We start from the raw sequence: 27,065 nt of genomic DNA on the forward strand, positions 1-27,065 counted from the left end.
TTAAATTCCATCTCACACACATAATTACACTATTTTTCCATTGTTTCTTAGAATAATCCTGGCTCTAAAATACTGTGCATTTTGTATACTTTTTAATACTCTTACTGTATTTCTTCAAAAATACTTTTTGTCTCTAGAGTATAATAACAGAACTTCAATTTTTTAAAGTAGTCCAACAAAATATGGCAATGATCTATTACAGTCATTTTGACTGTTTGGAAGAATTTTATTTTCATTTTATTTTATTTCTTAAGAAGAACTTCTTAAGAAACAGAATATTTATGAATCTAGAATATAGGTGTCTAAATTATTTGATCATTTTTCAAGTGAGTTAACTTTTCATGGGAAGAAAAAAAGAAATTAAGGTTGCAAAAAGAAAAGAAATACAAAAATTTGAACAAAAGTTTGTGATGATACATTTGCTTTTTAAAATTTGAAACAAAAAGCTTGCATTGTGCTTTCTCTTCAAGTTTGTTCAGGGCTATGGCTATTTGGCACAGAGAACTGGATTTCCTTTTCAGACCCAATCACCAAGCTTCCTCTTTTGAGTAGCCTAACAAGAGTTGTTCATAAGCTGGCTGAGTGTTTCCTTCAAGAAATATGAAGCCTCCATCTAAATACTATTGAGGATAGAAAAAAAGATAAAAGCTACCTCTAAAGTTCAATATCCTAAAGAACAATGCAATTCAATTTCACAAGCATGTATTTAACTTGAAATATTCTATAGGGCCTATTGCACAAAGAACCTTACTTAGGGAGAAAGACATCTAGTTATTTAAAGCAGAATGAAGTAATTGGCAAGACAGAATTTTGAGGGAAGAAGCAATTGAAATTGGTTTGAAAGATCTCTTCGAAAAGAGGGAGGATGAGCTCATCCTTGAAGGAGTGAAGTAGAGCAATTTTAATAAAACAGAGCTGCCTCTGGCTAGCAAGTGGTGTTTCCCATGAGCAGGGCCCTATTTCAAGCCTTTCATAACTATTAACCCAAGTTAAGCCCTGCAACAGCTCTGTGAGGTCAGGGATATTATTGTCCCATTTTAGAGATAATAAAACTGAGATTTAGAAACGATAAGCCTCATGCCCGAGGTTGCACTGCTGCTGTAAACAACTTAACCAGGACTGGAAGACTTGCAATCTAGACCCAGCATTTGGGAGCTTTGAGGCGATCTATGCTGCCTTCTGTATGGGAAATCAGGAAATGTGGATTCATTAACATATCTGTAAAAAGTTGTTCTCTGGATTTCAATTCTATCTATAATTTGAGCAGTGTATGTGACTGTATTATTTGTAGGTTCTCCTCCAGCCCTAAAATTCTGAGGACAGGGCCTCCCAGAATCAGGAAACAGCCCTAGAGAAGGTGCCAAGCAACAGAACAATAGGAAATGTTAGGATGGAGAGACAGTGGTGTATTGTTAAATTCTGGATTCTCAGATCTCTAAGCAAGTATTTTCAAAAACAAAACAAAACCAAAAAACACCTTTACCTCTAGCTCCTCTAACTTCACTGCTTTTGAGGAAGTTTTGTGATAAATATTCCATTGCTAATTGTCTATGGTGGCTTCTTGGTCTTTTAACAAACTATGTATGTTATGCTTCAAATTAATAAAATTTCAGCTAATTACAATCCTCCATCCTTTTACACTATTTGAAGAACCTTCCATATAATGGCTTAAGTGAATCATTAGACAGTCAAAGGTCAATTCTTCAGTCTTGTTATTAGGTGCTTAATATGAATAGATTATTTTTGTGTCCTAATAATATAACCATATTTTTGAAATGCTTGCAGTCTGGATTATTCACATCTTTAAAAGAAAAGAGATTAGCCGGGCACGGTGGCTCACGCCTGTAATCCCAGCACTTTGGGAGGCTGAGGTGGGTGGATTACCTGAGGTCAGGAGTTTGAGACCAGCCTGGCTAACATGGTGAAACCCCCCTCTCTACTGAAATATAAAATTAGCCGGGCGTGGTTGTGCAAGTCTGTAATCCCAGCTACTCAGGAGGCTGAGTCAGGAGGATTGCCTGAACCCGGGACATGGAGGTTGCAGTGAGCCATGATTGTGCCACTGCACTCCAGCCTGGGCAACAAGAGTAAAACTCAGTCTGAAAAAAAAAAAAAAGATTAGAAAGCAGTCAAAATAGTTCCATGTGTTTATTATGCTGACATGCCAAATATAAGTTAATATTATTTGTAGGGAAAGCACCAATCGCTAAAATAATGGAGGGAGAATGGAAAGGACACCTATCCCTGCTAAGATACTGTTTAGATAAGGCAATAAAACCAGAGCATGGTGACAGCACTATTGAGCTGATGTGCTACTCACTGGAGAACCAGTCTCACTAGTGTTTGATAAACTAACTAATATTAAAGGAGACAAGAGACTATAGTGGTGGGCACTGAACTCTTGCCTTCACTCCTTCTTACTCAACAGGGTTATCAATGACTTAAGACTACATACAGTGCTTTGAAACTAGTAAGAAACAAGATGATAAAGACCGAATCAAAATCCAAAGTAATCAAATGTGGAAGAAACATAGAACTAAAGTGCCTGAGATTAATTTAACAAGGATAAATGCAAAGATCTGAAATTCAATCTATAAATACATGTACAATCTCTATAAATACATGTAAATACATGTTCAATCTCAAAAACATGTACAGTTTTTGAGACAGTATTGTTTCACAAAGACCTGGAATTTTTCTATGCCCTAGCTTATTAAGAGCAAAATTCAATAAAGCTGTTATACAAACACATAACCTATGAGACTGCTTAACTTTCCTATACAAGAGCTGATAGATCATACTTGAATTTAGGTATTGAGTTCTGAGCCTTGATATTAAGAGAGATATCCATTTCTGCAGAATATATTCCCAGCAGGGAAAATCAACTGAAGAAAGATTCTAGAACTTATTTATTCATTCATGTATCCAAACATCCGAATACATTTATTGAAAAGCTATTTCATAGCAAGCGGTTGGAATATAATAGTGAAAAAGGCAGAAAATTCAGATAACCAGCACTGGCCATAATGAAGCTGCAGAGCTAAGAGATTTTTTTTTTAATATTTTAACTTTTTTTTTTATTATTATACTTTAAGTTTTAGCGTACATGTGCACAACATGCAGGTTTGTTACATATGTATACATGTGCCATGTTGGTGTGCTACACCCATTAACTCGTCATTTAGCATTAGGTATATCTCCTAATGCTATCCCTTCCCCCTCCCCCTGCTCCCTCCACTCCACAACAGTCCCTGGTGTGTGATGTTCCCCTTCCTGTGTCCATGTGTTCTCACTGTTCAATTCCCACCTATGAGTGAGAACATGCGGTGGTTGGTTTTTTGTCCTTGCGATAGTTTGCTGAGAATTATGGTTTCCAGCTTCATCCATGTACCTACAAAGGACATGAACTCATCATTTTTTATGGCTGCATAGTATTCCATGGTGTATATGTGCCACATTTTCTTAATCCAGTCTATCATTGTTGGACATTTGGGTTGGTTCCAAGTCTTTGCTATTGTGAATAGTGCTGCAGTAAACATACGTGTACATGTGTCTTTATAGCAGCATGATTTATAGTCCTTTGGGTATATACCCAGTAATGGGATGGCTGGGTCAAATGGTATTTCTAGTTCTAGATCCCTGAGGAATCGCCACACTGACTTCCACAACGGTTGAACTAGTTTACAGCCCCACCAACAGTGTAAAAGTGTTCCTATTTCTCCACATCCTCTCCAGCACCTGTTTTTTCCTGACTTTTTAATGATCGCCATTCTAACTGGTGTGAGATGGTATCTCATTGTGGTTTTGATTTGCATTTCTCTGATGGCCAGTGATGATGAGCATTTTTTCGTGTGTTTTTTGGTTGCACAAATGTCTTCTTTTGAGAAGTGTCTGTTCATGTTCTTTGCCCATTGAGCTTTCTATCAAACACAGTTCTGTCTGACTCCAGAGCACATACTCTAGTTACTCTACTGCTTTCCTTTTCATAATTTGGTGCTCTTCATGTTGTCCTAATAAATTCATTATCTTATTAAAAAACAGTGTCCTTCCTAATGACACACCTCCCTGTGCAGCACTAAGATGAGTGGGTCTCTCCGTTTGCTTGAGGAGGTCTCACTTGATTGATGTTTCAGTGTAACTATTAATGGTTTCTCCTAAACACACACACACACATGCGCATGCGTGCACACACAAACACACAATCTCAATTTGGACAACAAATAATTTGTTCTCCTTGCCTAATGCCATGATGCCATTTCATTTGAATGCATAGCATAACTTGAATTGAATGGCTATTCACTGCTAAAAGGAACGAGTGTTAAGTAGGACTGTGTGGTAGAGCTTTGGCTCAAGTTGCAAGAGTGCCATCACCAGTTAGCTATGTTCTTCCTGGGCACAAGAGTGAGGGATGCTAGCCCGTCATGGTCTGGGCACCCAGGACTTTGCACTATTCCAGGACTAAGTAATGTATCTCAAATATAAGTCATTCTGGACTTGCTGTTTCACTCTCTGTAATGCTCCTCTTCTGTCTACCAGACTTTCTTAACAGGGGTTCTGTGAGGAAAATTAAGTCCTAATGCTCTAAAAAGGCCATTGTATGTAGTGAATTAACTTCTCTAAAGTGCATCTAGAATGGCAGTAATTATATCAGTCCTTGGAGAAACCAAAAAACGTTGCTAAAATTAGTTTTGATGTCCTGCGGTGAACATGAGGGACCACTTCATTGCACCTTTTTATCAATATATTTTCTGTCTGTGTTAGACACTTTTTGCATTGTTATAAAGGAGTACCTGAAACTGGGCCATTTACAAAGAAAAGAGGTTTATTTGGCTCACAGTTCTGCAGGCTGTCCAGGAAATGTGGAGGTGTCATCTGCTTCTGGGGAGGCCTCAGGAAGCTTTCAAACATGGCAGAAGGTGAAGGGGGAGCAGGCATCTCACTTGGCAGGAGCCGGAGCAACAGCATGAGGAGGCGCCACAGTCTCTTAAACAACCAGGTCTCTGGAGAACTCACTCATCTCCAAAGGGCTGACACCAAACCATTCAGGAGGGATCTGCCCCATGATCCAAACACCTCCCACCAGGCCCCACCTGCAACCCTGGGGATCATATTTGAGATGTGGAGGGAACAAATATCCAAACTATATTACTATCATCACAAATTTCTTGGCAAAGTAGCTCTAGATCAGTGCCTCTCAACCTTGGCTATATGCTACAATTATCTGGAAGCTTTAAAATAGTAATGATGTTCAGGTTCTATCTAAAAAACTGTCAGAGTCTCCAGGGCAGGACCTAAGCATTGGAAAGTGTCAGCTGCTTCCCCGGGTGATTGAAATATGCATTCAAGAAGTAGAATGTCTGCTACGAATGAGTGACTGTGAGGAAGTCAGGTGTCCACTACACCCCAGCCTTCAACCTCTGGATGTGAGGAAGGGGTGGCTCCAAAATTTTATGATGTCAATGTAAATTTAAAGCCCTCAACAAGATACTTCAATTTCCCTGGGGGTCTCATGTTCCCATAGTCATGTCTGGTCCCAGCCTGTTACCTATGCTATCTTCATTTTTCTTTGGAATTTCAATAATTTGCCCATTCATAACTTCAGATTATGATTGGTTTCATTTATAATTGTGTGGCAATAGTTAAGGTAAAAAATAAACTTATATTCATGGTGGCAAATAACTTATGGTAAATTAGACATTCATCTCCTGAAGTCTTCTTAATCTACTCCCTCCACAGCAGCCCAGGGAGTCCCTTAAATCCACACCTTTTGACTCTTTTTCCTCAACCCTCTCATTCACCCCTTGACCTTTTCTTTCTTTCTCATCTCAAGATAATCTTTAATGTCTGACCTTATCCAGAAATTTGACTATTATCTTGTTGTTTTTGTCACAACTAGACTACCTTTAAGGAGGCATCTTATCAAAAACAGCCTGACCCTAGGAAGAATTCTGGAACCTGTAGTTAATATGACCAAATGGCCATTTTGGTAATTCTGTGAAGTAAACATTGATTAAATTAATTTTTATTGTACATTATAATAACTTTATGCTGGAAGAGAGACCAGTTGCCATACATCAATGACTAATAACTGATAACTGTCTATGGTTAGAATAAATGTGTCTTCTAAAATAAATCAATTTAAATTGTTTAAGCTGCATCTTCTTAACTAGTCACAGATTTGGTTTCTAGGGTGATTGCCCATTATATATCAAATTAATCTAGAGTTACAGATTATGGAAAGGATATTAAAGAGATAATTAGTTATTTTTTAACTGGAAATACACTTCCCATTTCTTCAGTTTAAAACTTCTAACCTGCACATTGTGCACATGTACCCTAAAACTTAAGGTGTAATAATAATAAAATAATAAAAAAAGAAAGATAATATATGTGCAATAAAATGATGTAATACAAACATTTGCTATTCTACACATTAAAAAGTTAAGGCACAAATTCAAAAAAAAAAACTTCTAATTTTGTGTCGTGATAGAAGCACCATCATCACAGATTATATACTATCAGAAATTCTCAGAGAAATAATAGATTTCCCTAGAGATCATTTTTCACTTAGCTTACAAGGTTAAATGAACTCCCAGATGCTCTGCTGGAACACAGACCCATCTCAAGAAACACACAAGCAGCAAATTTGCTGGTGGATGTTGAGATGAACACTTAGGAGCTGGTAGATTGCTGTGTGTTTGAAGAGGACCCAGGATCTCACAGACAAGCAAGGCTTGTCCACTTATTGCTATGTTACTAGAAAATGTGAACAAATCAATTTTCCATTGAACTAGGAGGCTGTAATAGAAGATCAAAAAAATCAAGTGAGAACTGAGAAGCTGCATATTTCTGCTCTACTAAAAGATGAAGTAAATTGACTAAGGGCATAGCCAATTTGAGAATTCTACAACTGTCATATTCTGAATAAGAGGTCTAGTTTCAGTGGTGTATAATCTCTCATTTTATATTGAGTTGACCATTATTGTGTTAAAATGCAAAGAAATCTTAGTCAGTGGACTCTCATTTTTCAATTTCTATATTTGTGAAAGTAGGAATTTTATACCAGTTGACTGTAGCCTGATTATCATTGACACATAAGAAGTTAATGCTCACTTTTACTTATTTCTCAGTAAGTGAAGTGGGATCTTTTCTCTATCTATCCATAAAGACGGAGAATAGGTGTAGTTTACACTAACCAGAAATTTATGTTAACTGGAATTGTAGGAGACCATACGATTTGGATGAGGTTATTGGTTTAGATTTTACACTCAGTTTATTTTGCCAGCCTACCTCTCCTGAATCACTAAGTGACTTCTGCTTTTTCCAAAATAAACAGCAATAAATGCTCACAGATAGAGTACAACTTGCATCACTGGACCTAAGTCATGGGAATAGAGCTATGCGAAGAGGCAGCATCACAGCGGAAGAAAACATGAAGTTGAAAATCAGCAAATCTTTCTTTAAATTCTAGCTCTGCCACTTAAAAGCAAGGCCCTTAAAAGACTGTAATATCCTCTCAATAATACATTTGCCCCATTTTGCAAATGCAGAGAATATTTTATCTCTAAGAATCCCTGTAAGATTTCAAGAGCTTAGCTGAAGGCCCAAAATGTAAACCATGCCCAGTAAATGTAATTATCATTATGAATCTTCACATGAGAGTGGGATACACACACCCTGACGTGGCACAGTGACATCCCCTGGCTATATTCTTTTTTCTGTGACATCGATCTTCTCAACTTCATTGGCCTCAAAATGGTCATATTCACCAAATAACAGGTGGATTTCTGGAGGCAACAGGTATGTTTAAAAGATGCTTGTTGCCATTAAGTGTCCTGCTTTGGTTCTATGATGGGTTTAGTAAGATTTGGGGGTGGGGGGTAGTCTTAGCAACTTAGCACCATTTGTAATTTGGCCTCTATAAGAAATACACAGACAAAAAGCCCAAAGTGTCAAAAAGAGTCCTATCTGTATAGGAACAAAATAGGCATGTTCCTATAGGTCTGGCCCTAAAACAAATCGTTGAGATGTTCCATAGGTTCTAAAAACCTTTTCCGGCTGTGGAGCTGAGAAGATACTAAAATAATAGCATCTTAGAGGTTGATTAGAAAAAAAAAAATCAAAAGTCTACTTAGCCCCAAATGACGTCAGCGTCAGCAGACCCACTTGAGGTGTTTTCCTTCATTAAATTAATACACGCAGACAGCTGTTTTGGCTGTTTCATTTCTCTCAGCGGTGAATCTGTTTCTTAAACGGCTACTCCAGGATTATATAGGGATGTAAAAGTTTATCTTCCACTCATGAAATAATTACATTTTAACTTGCTGACAAACCTATCAGTTTCAATGCAGTTATTAACCCAGCCAATTCCTACCTTAAAAAAATTATTACAATAGTACTTGAGCTTTTTTACTTCATTCAAACAGGCTGATGGTACAGTGTTCTCAAAGATGAAAAGGAAGCACTTGAAATAACTAACAATTTGATGCCTGAGATGTGGGAACTTTTGATAAGTATTTACATCTTTCATAACAAAAGAGTGTGAGAAAGAATTAAGGGGGAAGGAAAGCGGCGGGGGAGGGGGGGAAGATACTGCATAAACAGAACAACCATCTGACAAAAGCCACTTCTCCATGTTCTTAGGAAGCCCTTTCTGCAACCTACTTAACCTGGGGCTGAGTTTTCTCATTGCTATGAATACCATGGCAGCAGTTCCACAGAGCTACAAAGCTGCAGCCCAACACTGTTGAGAAACTGAGCTGTCTGTCACATACAAAGCTGGGTAAGGAGTTCACCCCATTAGGGGTGCCATCTTTATAAAATCACTAGGTCAAAAGTTCTCCGAGGGCAAGACACACCAACGGCAACAGTAAGCTATTAGCCAGTGAATTTTGTGCATGGATTAATATATTTCTTCTGTAAGTCATTTCTTCTTAAAACATTTTTAAATAACTGCCTAAACCTAAACCTGTTCTCAGAAATAAGATTTGCAGTTACAATTAATAGGTCAGAAAAATTTCCAAAGAGAAAATTCACTTTGCTGAGAAAATAAAGGAAGTAAACAATTTACAAAACATCTCCTTGAATCTAGATTTTTTTAAAGGTAGAATCCATTGATGTATTAAAAGGGTAACCATTATGACTAAGTGGAGATCATCCCAGACAATGTGACTGGTTTAATATTTGAAAACAAATCTGTCATTCACAGTATTAGCACAAAAACAAGAAAATAAAGCAAAACAACATGTTTTTAAACCTATGATCATTTTAGTCAATGCAGTAAAAGCATTTGACAAAATTCAGTATCCATTCATGACAATAACTGTCAGGAAACAACGAATAAAAAGAAACTTCCTCTATTTTATAATAAGCATCTACCAAAAAATTAACAACTGGCATCATATAGTTAACAGGGAAATATTGAACATTTTCACCCTACAATTAAGAATGAGATAAGGATGTCCACTTTCATCACTTTTATTTATCATTGTACTAGAGTTCCTAACTAGTTCTCTAAGGCAAGAAAATTTCAAAAAAGCATAAAGTTTAGAAAGAAGAAGTAAAACTGTATTTGCAGATGACATGATTGTTTATGTAGAAAATCTAATTAATCTATAAAACAATTATTAGAATTAATGCAGAATACAAGGCCAGTAAGCAAAAATCTATTTTGTTTTATGTACTAACAATATATTTTTGTTCATCAAGAGACTATATTAAGAATATAAATAGCCAAGACATGACTTGTCAAAATATTTTAAAGACATATATCTGAAAATAAGTGGTATCCGGGACATACAAAGGACTTCTACAACCCAATCATATAAACGTAAGCAACCCAATTAAACAAATAGGCCTAAGATTCAAGCAGACACCTCACTAAAGAAGAGATGTACAAGAAAGCACATGAAAAAATGTTCAGCATCGTTATTCATTAAAGAAATGCCAATTAAAAGCACAATGAAACACCATCACATACTCAACAAAAGGGCAATATTTAAAAAACAAAAACGAATACCACCAAAACCTGCCCCACATGCAGGGGTACACTGACTATCCTGTATTGTTGGTAGGGTAAAATAGTCCGATCACTTTGAAAAATGACCTGGCGGCTTCTTATAAAATGAAACATATTCATGTCCTTTGACTCAGTTTTTCCATACTTAAGTATTTCCTTTAAAATAAAAAAAGGACCACACAAAAACTTGTAAGAGAATGCTTATTGCAGATTATTCATATGGTTCATAATTGTCAAAAACTAGAAATCATCTAGGTGTGCCTCAACAGCACACTGGCTGAACAAATCATGGTACACATACACAAAAAGATGTCTAGACATAAAAAGGAAGCAGCTACGGACATACAACACCATGGGAATATCTCAAAAACTTTACAGAAGAATCCATCCTCTACAATCCAACTTAGAAAAAGTGTCAGAACAGCCAAAGCGAACTCAATGGCAGACCATGTGAGAAAAGGAATGGCTATTGCTAAAAAGGGGCAAGAGAACATTCTTGGGAGCAATGGTAATATTCTAAAAATTGATATTTGTATTACACTGGTTTACACATTTGTCAAAATACAGTATTAACTTAAGATTTGTGCACCACTTCATTTAATATACATTTTACCTCGAAAACAGAAAGGGAGAGAGAGCAAAAGAAAAGCAAATATTGACCTTTGAAGCATTTATTGGTGAAGTATACTGATGTCAGTTTGAAATACATCAAAATTGATAGAAGAACAAATTAATGTATGTATATAAAACAAATATAGTAAAATGTTAATTATATAACATATGTGATGGGTATGTGGACATCCAATGTATTTTTCAGTTTTTCTACATGGTTGTAAATTATTCTGAGTGATCTGAATATGTTTTAAAAATTATAAACCTTGAAATGTACACCTTATATTGCATGACTTGATTATAAATGGAGAATTCTAGAAATACTCACCAAGGTTAACACAAGTCAAATGTTCCTTAAGAAAGAAAATTCATCTTTGAGAAAGAACTAAATCCCAATATTTTTTTCAGATGTTCTAGATATCCTAGTTTGAAGAGGAAAATGTATACTATTTATTTTGGACAAGAATATTTAAAAGTTTATCTGATCTGCTTAAAGTTAAGAATTGCTGGTTTTGTAAAGTGACAAAGGGATTAGAAACATTATTGAAAAATAACTTCTATAATGCTTGCCAAATTGCCCTAGAAACAGAAGTAGGCAGAAAAGTATCTCTTATGTTGCAATCTGACATGAGTTGTTTCAAATTTGCAGAGCTGAATTTAAGAATAATATAGGCTGGGCCCAGTGGCTCATGCCTGTCATCTCAGCACTTTGGGAGGCCGAGGTGGGAGGATCACCAGGTCAGGAGATCAAGACCATCCTGGCTAACACAGGGAAACTCCATCTCTACTAAAAACAAATAACAAAACAAAAAAACCCAAAACCAGCCAGGTGTGGTTGGTGGTGGGCACCTGTAGTCTCAGCAACTCAGGAGGCTGAGGCTGGAGAATGGTGTGAACCCAGGAGGCGGAGTTTGCAGCAGTGAGCTGAGATCATACCACTGCACTCCAGCCTGGATGACAGAGTGAGACTCCATCTCAAAAAAAAAAAAAAAAAAAAAAAAGAATAATATAAAGGGTGTCGATGTTTGATTTTTAAAAAAGACTACTTGACAAGGTATGCCAGCAATAAAATCTTAGATATATCACAATCATTCATTTTAAGGTATATTTTTTATGTTTTTGGTATTTTTATTTGAATTCAGAAATGTCATGTATTAGAAATAAAAGTTGAGAGAAAGAAACTTCACACAACGCATTAGCTAAAACACACGCATATTTTAAAGAATTCACAGATAGTTATACTTTTATATTATATATATTTAATGCTTAGCAACCACAGTTCTAGGGTAATTGGTTATCTCATTGTAATCGACTTATGTGTTAATTTAGTATCCAGAGCCTAAAAACAGAGAAAATATTTTTACCATACTCTGAGAACCTCAGTCCTCATACTTAGTGTGATATCACATCCACCTGGCTGATGTTGGGGTTATAACATCTAACGAAAAATACAAATCAATTTCCTGGAAGGAAAATGGTGAGAACATTTGCTACCTATAGGACCAGCACTAACAAACCTTCCTCTGTTCTTCCCCTTTAAACCTGGTTTTCACCAATACTCAGTTCTTGCCACTGCTCTGGTTCTGCTGTTGTGGATATTGATATGTTGGACTAGGTCTTCACAGTGAAGAATGACATTTCCCAGCTATCTTAAAAATACTTTATGTGCCCTTGGGTTGTGGTTTTAAGAAAAAAAGCCTTATCTACAGAAAGAAGGGCTCCTCTCCAAATGCAATATTGTCCCATCCCCTTTCCATATTCTTTCTCTCATGAATTATCTTTCTCTAATTAGATAGATCTCATTGATCTGAAAAACTCTCAAATTTCTTGTTAGGTAACTTTTCTTTCATGTAGATGGAGGTAAACCAGAGTCACTCCACTTTCAGAGTACGTGTCATGATTTCAGCACTTCTTTGTCTTCTGACAATAAACCACCTTCACAGTGACACTAAGTTTTTGTTGCCAAAGTCAATAAATTTACCTGGAATATTGTGAGTTGTTTCTGAGTAGGGGAAAGAGAGGGTCAGAGCAGAAAGCAAAATATCTCACCCTTGGCTGCATTATTCTTTAACTGTTGGAAAAAGGTCATTGACCATTTAAGAGAAAAAAAACCTACCTGCTTTAATTTTATGTATGTTTTAATATTTGGACTTAAAAATACTTTCACTTAATATTTTGGAATATCTGATTTTGTCCATTATAACTGCAGTTCGGTTTATGTAGAATTAGAGAATAATAGAAACAAGACATCCAAGGGATTTTCTAGTTCAACAACCTTAGGTTATCAATGAGGGGCTTGTGGTATACATTTTGAAATTCTGAAATATTGACTAATTTCTCTAGGTATTTTTGTAATACAATTAAACACTTTGTCGACAAGAGTGGAGTACTGTACTTATCTGAGTTGAGGAAAGGATTTTATGGAAGACGTGGTGGGGGTTGGAGTAGCTGTGGAAGATGAGAGAAACGTATTAACTAAAGCATGGAAATATCAATTCAATACATTCCCTCTGACTGAGATGTGTTAAAGTTTCGCATAGGTGGCGCGACGAAGCCAGCTTGCAAGAATGTGCCACATTCCTTCATTTATTCAACAAATAGTTACTTAGCATCACTCTATGTACTGTTCCAAGGGTCAGAGAAGCAGCAGAAGACATTTTTTAAAGTCAGTCATAATGTTTGCGCTGAGTTTTGAGAGAAAGAGAAGAGGACACCGTGTTCTCTGAGTGAGTAGTAGATCGATTGTTGAAGCCTAATGCGTGGAGGAGAGGTAATTAAATACTAGAAAACTGAGCATCTGCTGATTCTGCACGTGTTTTTGTGGTTTATTCTTATTTGAGAGGATGGTAATACAGAATCTTGCCTGAAATTGGATTTTTGTGAACTAACCGAATTCTCCAAGTTAAAATCTAGGTGTTTTCGTCAATTTCTGTCATCAGGCTGAACCTGTCTCACAGTTCCTATGCTGTGTTGTTGTCCAAGGAGCTCCTTCAGAGATGGCCTTAATCTAAGTTTATGGCAAGCTTTTTAGTTATAATTTTCGGCAACTTCGGTATAAATAAACAAGACCGCCCCTCTCTTTAACCAAAGCAAGCTGGTCACGAGATTGCAATATGTCATCTAACCACAGGTAGATGCTACCTAAAAGATCTCTCTCCAACCTCCAAACCAATGTTTTCAAAAATTATGTTGCAAGGTCTGTTAGGATACCCTTCAAGTATCCACTTTTGTATAATTTGTCATATTGGCCAAATCCCAGAAAATTCAGCATATTAAAAAATATCAGACTGACTCTATCTCTTGCCCCCAACACCATCTCTGTCAGAGACAGAAAACTGTGACAATATTTGATATCTGACAAGATTGATATATTTCACTGTTGGTCCAACCAACAGAAGATGAGAGCAAGTCAGACCAGACATGACCACCTGAAGTATGTAAGTCAATAACTATGAAGTTGTTCATTTCTATGACTAGACTGGATCTATTGAGGAATTTAACCTGAGGTAAATTAAGGCAACGTGAGGATCATTACAGTATAAAATGAGCAAATGGCCTATTCTAGGCTTTTGCATCAGGTGATGGAGAGGCAGAGTCTGCTGTGAGTAATACCGAAGAAGTGTGAATAATGGGACTTAGTCATGAAAGGAAAATGAAGCAAAGAAGTCAAAGATTCACTCCCTGTGTGGGTGAATGGGAACATGATACTGCTAAATACAGAAGTGGAAGGCTAGAAATTCCAGGGAAAGGGAGGAGAAGAAATATTATGAATTTAGAATTTATTGAATGTGAGACGTCAACAGGGCACTCAGGAGGGAATGGTTAACAGGAAGTTACACATTTAGGACTAGAGAATTGTAGAGGGCAAAGGAATGGGGTGATTTCAGCTGGCACCCTTGGGAGGTAGAGATAGGTGCAAGGAGACCAGTTACTACTTAGTGGGCAATCTGCCCCTCTAGGGGTATTAATAGGCAAAGACTCCTTTTGGTGGAGCACAAAATCCGTAGGTTTGATCATATAAGTGAATGTGCAATAGGAAATATTCAACTGAATAAAACCACATGAGGAGGAGGCTGAGACAGAGAAAACAATATAAATAAAATGATAAAATAGCAATGTCAAATACAGTAAGAACTCAAAGTTAAAGTATTAGAGACCAACATATATTTTTAAGAGAGCCAAAATAGGATGGATTGCCCCAAAGAGTGCTATTTGGGGAATATTTCTGGAGGGTGAGATTTGAAATAGAGCTTTAAGTGCCTGGTGAGCATGGCAGGCAGCCTATAGGCAGGAATAATAAAGTGTTACCTGAAAAACTCGTTAGGAGAAAGAGGGAGAGAGAGGGAGAGCAAGAGACTATGAGCCTTGCTCTCTTGGTGGCCCAGAGATCCTAGCAAGATTTAGGTCTCAGTAAGAACAATTTAGAATTCAGACAGTAATTTTGTCCATTTTGTTCACTGCTATATACAAGCACCTAAATACATAGTTGTTCCATAAATTATGTTTTGCATAAATAAACTATGAAAAGCAAAGCAAAAGACCAGCTTTGCCAATTCACTTGGCTCTCTTGTTGTCTGTGTACCCCTAGTTAACAAGTCTGCTGGCCTGGGAGTATCTTTCAATTTTTCACATAATGAAAATAGGCTTTTGTTCACTGCACAGGTAAATGCGTTTAATGAAGTTGATGCCTGAGACGAGTGGAAGAATTTTTAAAGACAAAGATACCTGTCATTGGATGTGATCAGGGTCAAAATAATGATGTCTCTTGATATTTAACCACAATTGTCCTCCAGCAAACCTTTTGAATTATCAATTTTTTAAAAACTTTTTTAAGGAGAGATATTAAGAAAACCAATATTTTTCTCACTTCAAATAAAACTTTGGTTCATATTAAAAAGGTTTTAAGTCACAATTTTTAAAATGCTGGTGTAAAAAAGTGAATCAATGTGACAAATCAAAAGAAAATGGCAAATCGGCATTGATATAATGGTTAAAGTTTTAACTATTGATATAACGGTTAAAAACCAAGTGAAGAATGCAGACTCATATAACGCAAGAGAATATTTTAAAATTGTGTCTAAAAATAGGGCATAGAACAACAGTTTATTGGAGTAGTCTATAAATAACATAAAATAGTGAAATAAAAATGTTTTAAAATAAAAGTTACTGGATGCATTATAATAATTCATATTAAGAAGGCAGCATTTGTGGTGGGTTAAAGTGCGAAAGAACATGCAGCAAATTTACCTCAGAAAGAAAAATTCATTACAATAGTATCAGAAACATTACAACATAAATTTATTATTTATTTATCTAACAATCTATCTATCTATCTATCTATCTATCTATCTATCTATCTATCTATCTATCGATATGTAAGTTTGAGACGGAGTCTTGATCTGTCACCCAGGCTGGAGTGCAATAGTGCAATCTGGGCTCACTGCAACCTCTACCTCCGGGGTTCAAGTGATTCTCCTGCCTCAGCCTCCCGAGTAGTACGGATTACAGGTGCCTGCCATCACACCCAGTTAATTTTTTGTATTTTTAGTAGAGGCAGATTCTTGCTATGTTGGCCAGGCTGGTCTCGAACCCATGACCTCAAGTGATCCACCCACCTCGGCCTCCCATAGTGCTGGGATTACAGGCGTGAGCCACCATGCCCAGCCTACAATATATATTTAAATGTTAATGTTTATTTGTGAGAAAAATTCTCACTTAAAAATAAGTCCAAATATACAGAAAACTTTCTCTTTAAACTAATTTTTATTGATTTGCAATTATGCTTAGCTATTGGTAAAAGTTTTGGAGTCATCCACTTGCAAATGGGTGTGTTTAGAAAAGGTAATCCCAGTCTAGTTGTGATTAAACCATGACAGTATGTAATAGGTACTGAGTGACCATGATTGAAATAAATATTTGCTAGGTTGGTGTTATTAAATTTATGAGAAGGGGTCCTAGAGAAATATTTAAATAATAATATTTAATTTGTTTGTAAATGTGCTTAATGTGCTTAGCATAATTCAAGCAGTTCTTCTGATAATATATTTAAATTTGCAGCTTCCGATTTTATTAGCAACATGAGGCATTTCATTTTCAGTGTTCATATTAATCACACAAAATGATTTTCTTTTTAGTTTTGGTTCTCCTGTAATTATCTTTTCCCAGTTTTTCTTGCATATACCTGAGTACTTTGATATGTCTAAGACAAAAATTGATAATAAAATTAGGATTATTTTACTGACAGAATAACCACAAAAATCCTTTACTAATTATATAATGAAAACTTTCAGCTTATTATGCTAAGATAAAGAAAAAGACATTTGTACTTGGCACATTACTTTAACTGGGCACTTTTACCTAGTAATATTATTTTATGCAATGCAAACATAAATTTTCACAAATGTTTTTACTATTTAGAAAGAAAAAAAGCTATGTAGAGCAGTCTTTGACTTGGTCTCTTCACCCTGTAGCAGACTTACATTGATTGATGGGTTTGAGCTTGTAATTTAATGTGGCAAATTTTTGTTGTCCACAAATATCAGGAGATTGTATGAGCTTTTCTATAGGGAAGGGGAGTGGCAACTATGAACTCAGCAAACCAGAGTTAAACTTTATTTTCTCATATCTTAGTATACTTATTCTATAAATAAGAGAGTTGGAATAATGCAAAAAATCTGTTAATAACAAAATAAAACATAATTTATGGCCCAGAATAAACTTGAATGGACCCACATGATCAAACAATCCCTTACTTGTTTTGACGAGCTATAATAGAGCTATGTCATGATTGCAGAGTATGTTTATACAGCTTTTTCCCACTTTTCACAAGAAGTTTTCTTTCCTTAATTATTCTCTAAAACAAGGAGAACACCATATTTATACAAGTCTTGTGCAGAATAAATAATTTTAGAAATTTTATTTTTAGTACTTAACTTTTTAGTGTTTTATTTTGGATTTCCACATACATATAATAGTGTAATTATCCTGCAGCTACTTTTAGGTAGTTTCAACAATATCAATATTTTCCCAATCTTACTTCATCTACTCCTACAAACACAGTTGCAGAAATTTTTTTTATATTTTGAAATAATTATAGATTTACTGGAAGTTGCAAAAAAATAAATATACAAGGAGATTCCATGAGACGTTCTTTCAGCCTCCTGCAATGTGGTGATATATTGCATAATTATAGTAAGGTATCCAAATCAAAAATTTGACTTTGGTGCAATCCACAGCATTTTCAGATTTCCACAAGCACCTATGGGTGTATATGCATGTGTGTGTGTGTATGTTCTATGCAATTCCATCACTTGTGTAGTTTCAAGGAGTCACCACCACAATGAAGGTACAGAATGACTCTGTAGTCCCTTAAAGTAGCTCTTTACAGCCACCCTCTGCCCTCTCTCCGAAGTCCCTGACCTAATCTAGTCTTCAGTTTTCTAATTTTGTTGTTTAATGAATTTTACACAAATGGCATCATGTCATATGTAAACTTTTGAGACTAGCTATTTTCCACTCAGTATAATTCTCTTGACCTCCATCCATTTGTATCAATAATTTGTTCCTTTCTATTGCCTAGTATGGATGCGTCACAGTTTGTTTAACCATTCACTCATTGAAGGACATTTGGGTTGTTCCAGTTTTGGGCTACTACAAATAGAGCTATTAAAACCATGCGTGTACAGGTATTTGTGTAAATACAAATTCGTCTCTTTGAGACAAATGCCCAAGATTGCAATTACTGGTTCATATGGTAAGTATGTGTTTAGTTTTAAAAGAAACTGCCAAAGTATTTCCAGAATGTCAGTGACATTCTGCATTCCTACCAGCAATATGTGAGTGATCATTTCTCTGCATTCTCATTAGCATTTAGTGTTATTTTTTCATTGTAGCCATTTTGATAGGTACATAGTGATATATCATCGTAGTGTTATCTGTCTCTCCACAGTTTGCATTCCCAAATGGCTATTGGTGATGAGCAGAAAAAAATTATTTTTAATTGGCATAATGCCACCAATTCACCTGTGATTTATTCTTTATTTGGACTTTTTATTATAATGCTTTAAAAATACTGGTCACATTTATATTTGGGACAGATTTTTTTTTTTAGATGGAATCTCGCTTTGTCGTCAGGCTGGAGTGCAGTGGCGCAATCTTAGTGCGCTGCAACCTCCGCTTCCCGGGTTCAAGCGATTCTCCTGCCTCAGCCTCCCGAGTAGTTGGGACCACAGGCACACGCCACCATGCCCAGCTAATTTTCGTATTTTTAGTAGAGACAAGGTTTCACCATGTTCGCCAGGATGGTCTCGATCTCTTGACCTTGTGATCTGCCCACCTCAGGCTCCCAAAGTGCTGGGATTACAGGTGTGAGCCACTGCGCCCGGCTCACATTGCTTTCTATAGTGAAAATAAAGTTCCGATAATTCTTTTTTCTAATTCTGTTCATCTTTTATGTTCTATTTCCTAAACATTTTTTGTGCTTACACAACAAGGAAGAGAAGTAGCAAGAAAAACACATCTGAAATCTCTACTAGTAACAATGCCATAATTAAATTCACACACACACACACACACACACACACACATATTTTTACTAAATTGGAATTACACCCTGTATGATACTGTGCTCGTTACTTTCTAGAATTTAACATACTATGTATCATCTTTTTATCCACCATTATTATTCCACATTATTATATTTCATGGCAGCATAGAATATTTTTGTGATATTGTTTACTTGTTTATTTTTAAGGTTAATTTTCTGAAAATTGTATTGTTTTCTCAAAATTTAAATATTATTTATAGTGGTGACTCCTAACACTTTCTGTTTCTTAATTTTTGTTCATTCACACTTTGATATAAAGACATCTCTGAGAGAATACATAGGATCTATGTCAAAATTCTCATCTTCCACATTGTTCTGCAATCTTACTATTTATGTCCTATATAAGAAAAAAAGAGAGCCCTGCTAAATAATTGCAGAGTAAGTCATTTGTGCTGAAGCATTAATGCTTAAAAATTCTGGCATGTCTGAAACAATCACATGAATATTAAGCCAATAGATACATGTTTGACTCCATGAGACTAAAAACAGTGGTCTTTCTCTCACCATTGTATGCTTAACACCTAGCAGAGTACTTGATAAATTGGAGACATCAAATAAATATTTGTCTGATGAACAAATGAAGTACCGTATTGGGATTTGCATTTGAAAAAGTGTTTGTTCAGCCCTCACTAATGCTCTCTATTCCCTCTTCCAAGTTTGCTAAGCTGGTTAAGGCCGGAGGGGCCAGCAGCTCCTTCCTCCTTCCTCTTCTCCTTGGCCTCCTCCTCGTCCTCCTTCTCTCCTTCTCCTTCTTTTCCCTTCTCCCTTCTTCTTTCTTCCCCTTCTCCTTCTTCTTTTTGTTTATTTGTATTTATCTCAGCAAGATCACTCGATAATCTGGCTGATTTTGTCCTGCCTTGGCCCTTCCCGTGCAGAGCTCACCTGAAAGTCCTGACCACCTACAGGTGTTGTTACATTCTTAATTCCATCTCTCCTTTCTTCAACAAAACCTATCATTCTGAGTCCAGTCACCATAAGATGCTCATTTCTTTTACTAGGTGATAAAATCTGCTGGATACCCACAGGTTTCTGCATAACACATAGGAATCCCGGGAGCTAGCTTCTACTGAGCTTTACCAATATGCTAGGCATCATTCTGAGCTCTTTATGTTTTAGCTTCTTTATTCCTTTTTACAGCTCTTTCAGGGCACTGTCATTATTATTCCCATTTCACAGTGAGGAAGCAGGCACAGAAAGTAGAAGGAAGTGGCAATGGATCACTGATCCAAAGAACAGGATCTACACTGTGTCTTCTGTCCAGCTAATTCCGTGGCAGCAGCTGCAGTCAATTCTACTCTCCTGCACGACGCCAGACACCCAGAATCAAAGCCCAGAGTCATTACATTCTTCCAAGTAGCCACGGAACCTGCATCATCAAAACCTGCCAATGATTTACCAATGGTAAATCACTGTGGGCTCTCTGCATTTGACTTTGGCTGGTCTATATCTTTGGAGGTAGTTGTAGAGTCCTGCTGAAGTCAGAAACATTTAAAAGTCTTCTGATCCACTTCTTGGTTCTGGGGAACTGATGCCTGCTCTTTCAAATACAGGGCAACTTTGACCCCTCTGCCTTGTGCCTACATTCTGACAGTTTCTGTAGACTTAAATCTGCTCCCTTCCTCTCTTATATAATGTGTTCATTAGCCCGAGCCCCTGCCTCTCAGTCAGGCTTTCTGCTCTTTCTTGAGTTCTACATTCAGCATGTGTCTTGACCCCACTTTCCACATCACTGGCTCATACCTTCGATTCCTGGCTGAGGGTCTGTATCAGGCCACATTTCTGTCCACCTGTGCCCAGCCACTGTGTGACGACTGGAGCTAATTTAACCAGAAAAAAAATCCTGCAGATATATTAAAGAGATAATTTGAATTTTTAGCAATGGCCATCTGTTTCCAATACCTTAAGGAGAATCCCAGTATTAGGAATTTTAAGTCTCATGTTATGAAAGTATGAGAGATGATTTTTGACATGCTGGCACCTTGGACCACGTCATTCTATTTTAGCAAAGAGTTGGTCTTGTCTCTGCAAGTGGAGAAGTAGGATATTTATATAATATTTACATGGAAGTTTTGGGAAGGGTAATGTCCAGGAGGGGTCATGTCCAGATTAATGGTCATATGCATGTCACATATACTGGCATTTTCGTCATGTATTTTTATGCATTACTGATCATTCACTCAAGAAACATACAATGAGCAACTACTATCCCCAAGGAGCTGTTTTAGGTGACAAAGCATTTAGTACTACATCACGCACCCATATTTGTATATAGAAGTAGCCTTGGAATTGCCTTTGAAAGTGTCTGAAAGTGGCACAATAGATATACAAATTCGAGTCCCAAGGACACAGAATATTATCATATCCTTCCCTATGGTTTATGTAGGTACCACTTTTCTCAAGCTGATGTGAGAGGAGCTGACGGGACTTTTGCTAGCAGTCCTCCCTCTGCCAAATGCCATGTAACTCTCCTGCAGAGCAGAGCTATGCTGTCAGAACATCACACGACTGCCAGGTGCAGTGGCTCATGTCTGTAATCCCAGCACTTTGGGAGGCCGAGGCGGGCGGATCAAATGAGGTCAGGAGTTCAAGACCAGCCTGGCCAACATGGTGAAACCCCGTCTCAACTAAAAATACAAAAATTAGCTGGGCGTGATGGTGGGCACCTATAATCCCAGCTACGCGGAAGGATGAGGCAGGAGAATCATTTGAACCCAGGAGGCGGAGGTTGCAGTGAGCTGAGATCATGCTATTGCACTCCAGCCTGGGCAACAGGGTGAGACTCTGTCTCAAAAAAAGAATAAAAAAAAAAGAACATCACACGGGTGCAGTGTGCAAGACCCAGGGGATGTCTTGGGTGGAGTGTGAAACTGGAACAAGAAGAACAGGTTGAGAGACTTCCTGAAAATCAAAAGTAGGAAGGATGACTGACCTAGATTATTGACAATGGAAACATAAAGAAAGAAATGGATGAAAAAGGAAGAGGTAAAATTGCAAAGGGTGTATTTGGACGACAAAAGAGATTAAAAAGAATAAAAGTGAGGCGTTTCAAGCAAGAAGTCTGGTAAAATATAGCATGCCTTTTAAAAAAGAAGTCTAGGAAGATAATGCACAAGCGGATATGTAGAAGTCGGTAAAGAGAAATTTTATTTTGAATCTATTGTGAAGATCTTGGGGAACCTGGAGGTTAAGACATCAATCTGGCCTTGGAGTTCAGAAGAGAAATTGGTCTAGAAATGTAGGCTAGGCAGCAAAGTTGCATTAAATAATAATAGCCAATTTTCGCACGGCACTTAGTATGTGTTGGAGGCTATTCTCGGTCCTTTAAATATAGCACATAATTTGATTGGTGCAATAACCTGAAGTAGATGTTATCAACATCATTCCAAATTTACAGTTAAGGAAACAGAGTCACACAGAGCTGGATGCCATGCCTAGAATTCCACAGCTAGTAAGTAGGCAGAGGAGGCTGTCTCCATGAACACACTCTCATTTGCTAGGGTACTCTGGCCAGAGTTGGCATCAGCAATTTTCTTCAAAGTGTTTGTGCAGGAAGAGGTGGGGGTGGATAAACGGGTGATATATATAAGGCCAAGAGATTAAATAATGACATAAATCATGGCAGGCCTTCTATCATCTGTCCCCTCTGGAGGCCAAGCTAAGTGATTCCTTCCAGTTAGTGCTTTGTATAGAAGACAGGACTAAGGGCTGGCCTAAGGGAGAGATGAAAACACAGGGGAAGAGTGGCCAGAAGCTAGACCAAGAACACCCATATTTGAAGGACTGAGGAAAACAAAAGGGAGGAATTGAGAAAGATAGAAAAGGAGTCACCAAGAAGAATGTGGGAAAACAAGAAAGTGCCCATCATAGAGCCACGGGGACTGGGGGCCTTGGGGAGAAGGTGGCTTTTGTGGCCAGCATGGGAGGGAGTGGTCAGGGCTGAAAAGACAAGCCAACACAAGCCTGTGGGAGATCTGGTGAGTGTGAAGGCTGAGATGTGAATAGAGCTGTTTTTGCAGTGGGGTTCAAGAAAACCAACTGCAGGAGGATGAAGCGCAGGAATAAGATGTGAAAAGGGAAGCATTAAGTTTAGGCTGCTTCCTGGAGTACTTCCAAGTGTGAGAATGCTTAGGAGACAGAAGAGTTTTTGATGCAGGGAGAGGGGAATCAAGGGCGAGAAAGGCTGCAATGTGCAAGGCTTCTTGGGGATGCCATGGGTGAATCCCCAGCGTCTGTGGCCGGAACTGGTTTAAAATGGAGAAATGAAGTGGGGCTGGTCGTTGGAGAGGAGTCCTCATTATTGCCAACCTCATTAGACAACACTAATAGTTATAAACAGATAATTTGCAAGAAGACGAAAGAATCCAAATTCATGTTGCCAATACTAAATATTTAACTAATGGAAAATATAGGCTTTGAATTGGCTGTGAAAACCTCAAATGACGAGTTAAATTTTAAATACTTTGTGCCCTGGAGATGATGTTTCCATCCCTGATTTTCCCAGATGGGGTGTGAGTCACAGCACAGGAAATAACACTGGATTTCACATTATTTTGCTTATACAAAGGATGTGAACCTTCTGAAACCAGCCGCCCTGTAGATGAAATAAAAACCCAAAGGGAGGCAATTAGGATGACTGTGCTCCACTGAGTCGACCCCACGTGTCCAGCAAAAGCCGGGTCAGAGCTCTGTGGCAGGAAACCAGGGATGGTGAGAATCTGCCAGCGCGGCCACAAGCGGAAATGTTTGCTTCTCCCCACGCCAGGAGGCAGATGCCAGATAGAAAGACCCGCCAGTAAGATTCATAACTGTGGAGACTTGAGCGTGGTGAGAGGATGATCTAGCATGGCTGTGAAGCAGTCAGGTTTTCCTGATTCCCCCTCCTATTTATTTCATCTTCTTTTGAGGCACATGTGCTAAATTAGACGGATTTAAACCTTTATAATAAAACATTGTGTCCTGGTCATTTGTGGGTTATAGTTCTCAGAACAAACAGCAGTTATGGAGTCGTGAGTGTGTGGATAAAGAGTGTTAGCCATACACGCTTATGAAATAACAGGGCACCGTGTGATGTTAAAGATAGCTAGGATAAGCAGCATGTCTGAATACATGCTCCAGGTATTTCAGCTCCTTTCTCTTCCATCAGCATTTTTATTCTCTTTCCTCTTCACTGGTTCTCTCACTTGTGCTGTATACTCGAACAGATTTCCCTTTCCCAGAAAAACATTATGCTTCTGTTCACATTTCTGCTCAGTTTCTTTAACTCTCAAACTTCTTAATACATTGCACATCGCTCTATCCAATTTTGCACCCTCTTTGTCTATCCCTCCTCTCTAAGTGACATCTCTGATACTTCTGCTCTACTAAGACCAGACTATCAAAGGTCGATAATAACGTTACTGGCCAAACCTAGTGGATTCTCTTCTTTCTTACTGTGGAGATGCAAATCCCAGAAAGAGGGTATGTGTTTCCCAAAGTAATTCACCCCATCTGCAGGACCTCTGTTTTACTGGTGTCCCTGGTTTCATACTGATTTTTTTTCTCTCCCTCTCTTATCCATCTATCCATATCTAGCTCTCTGTCCTTTCTATCATGTGTCTATCCATATAGTGTATTTCTTTGACCTCACTGAGGCTTCTTCCTCCTCTGCTCCCTCCTCCTTCCACTTTTATGGATGGGTGTTTCCTAGCTCAGCTCTTTGTGCTTAGCCCAGGATGCCTCAACAATCTCTTCCTCCTGCCCATATCTTACTCTAAAATGTAAAACCCTGGTGATCCATAGGCACATGGCCTTACGTGTGTTATTAGTCCATTTTCATACTGCTATAAAGAACTGCCCAAGACTAGGTAATTTATAAAGGAAAGAGGTTTAATTAACTCACAGTTCAGCATGACTGGGGAGGCCTCAGGAAACTTAAAATCATGGTGAAAAGTGAAAATAAAGCAAGGCATCTTCTTCACAAGGTGGCAGGAAGGAGAAGGGCCAAGTGAATGGGCAAAATCACCTTATAAAACCATCAGATCTCATGAGAACTCACTCACTATCATGAGAACAGCATGAAGGTAACCATCTTCATGATTAAATTACCTCCACCTGGTCTCTACCTGGACATGTGAGGATTATCGGGATTACAATTCAAGATGAGACTTGGGCGCAGACACAAAGCCTAACCACATAATTCTGCCACTGGCCCCTCCAAAATCTCATGTCCCTTTCACATTTCAAAACCAATCATGCCTTCCCAACTGTCCCCCAAATTCTTAATTCATTCTAGCATTAATCCAAAAGTCCAACTTTAAAGTCTCTTCTGAGACCATAAGCCTTCTGCCTATGAGCCTGTAAAATTAAAAGCAAGTTAGTTTCTTCCTAGATACAAAGGGGGTAAAGGCCTTAGATAAATACACCCATTCCAAATGAGAGACATTGGCCAAAACAAAGAAGCTACAGGCCCCATGCAAGTCTGAAATCCAATAGGGCAGTAATGAAATCTTAAAGCTCCGAAATAATCTCCTTTGACTCCATGTCTCATATCTAGGTCAGGCTGATGCAAGAGGTGGGCTCCCACAACCTTGGACAGCTCCACTCCTTTGGCTTTGCATGGTACAACCCCACTCCTGGCTGCTTTCATGGCTGGCATTGAGTGTCTGCGGCTTTTCCAGGCACACAGTCCAATCTGTCAGTGAATCTACCATTCTGGGGTATGCAGCATGGTGGCCCTCTTTTCACAGTTCTACTAGGTCCCTAGTAGAGACCCTCTGTGGGAACTACAACCCCCCATATCCCTTCTTTACTTCCCTAGCAGAGGTTCTCCATGAGGGCTCCGCCCCTTCAATACATCTCTGCCTGGACATCCAAGCATTTCCCTATATCCCTGGAAATCTAGGCAGAGGTTCCCAAACCTCAATTATTGTCTTCTGCACACCCACAGGGCTAACACCACATGGAAGCCATCAAGGCATGAGGTTTACAACCTCTGAAGCCATGGCCTGAGTTGTATCTTGGTCCCTTTTAGCCACAGCTGGAGCAGCTAGGACACAGGGCATCAAGTCCCAAGGATGCACATAGCAAGGGGCCCCTAGGCCTGGCCCACAGAACCATTTTTTCTTCCTAGGCCTCCAGGCCTGTGATGGGACAGGCTACCATGAAGACTTCTGACATGCCCTGGAGACATTTTCCCCATTGTCTTGATATTTAACATTTAGCTCTCTGTTACTTATGCAAATTTCTGCAGCCAGCTTGGATTTCTCCTAAGGAAACAAGTTTTTCTTTTCTACCACATCATCAGGCTGCAAATTTACCAAACTTTTATGTTCTGCTCCCCTGTTAAACATAAGTTCCAATTCCAAACCCTCTCTTTGTGAATGCATAAAACTTAATGCTTTTAGGAGCACCCAAGTCAGCTCTTGAATGCTTTGCTGCTTAGGAATTTCTCTCACAAGATACCCTAAATCATCTTTCTCAAGTTCAAATTTCCTCGGATCTCTAGAACAAGGGCAAAATGCCACCAGTCTCCTTGCTATAGCATAGCAAGAGTCACCTTTAGTTCCTAACAAGTTCCTTACCTCCATCACAGACCACCTCAGCCTGAAATTCATTGTCCATTTCACTATCAGCTTTTTGGTCAAAGCCATTCAACAAGTTTCTAGGAAGTTTCAAACTTTCCCACATTTTCCTGTTTTCTTCTGAGCTTTCCAACTATTCCAGCACCTGCCTGATTCCCAGTTCCAAAGTCACTTCCACATTTTCGGGTATCTTTATAGTAGCACCCCACTGCTGGTACCAATTTACCATATTAGTCCGTTTTCATACTACTGTAAAGAACTGCCCCAAACT

At 38.1% G+C, this 27,065-nt stretch overlaps 1 protein-coding gene across 1 annotated transcript in view, besides 1 other annotated feature; it reads right to left on the reverse strand.

The window, feature by feature from the left end:
* The window catches only part of NALF1 (NALCN channel auxiliary factor 1), a 703,987-nt gene that overhangs the window by 263,711 nt on the left and 413,211 nt on the right, over positions 1 to 27,065 (reverse strand). The gene's annotated exons all lie outside the window — the stretch shown is intronic.
* Positions 8,361 to 8,655: a silencer, noted in NCBI's record as "tiled region #7214; HepG2 Repressive non-DNase unmatched - State 24:Quies". NCBI's record gives its function as "represses a minimal TATA promoter and a strong SV40 promoter by Sharpr-MPRA in HepG2 cells {active_cell/tissue: HepG2}" and the evidence as "EXISTENCE:reporter gene assay evidence [ECO:0000049][PMID:27701403]".

Source organism: Homo sapiens, chromosome 13, assembly GCF_000001405.40.
Source record: "Homo sapiens chromosome 13, GRCh38.p14 Primary Assembly".
NCBI lineage: Eukaryota > Metazoa > Chordata > Mammalia > Primates > Hominidae > Homo > Homo sapiens.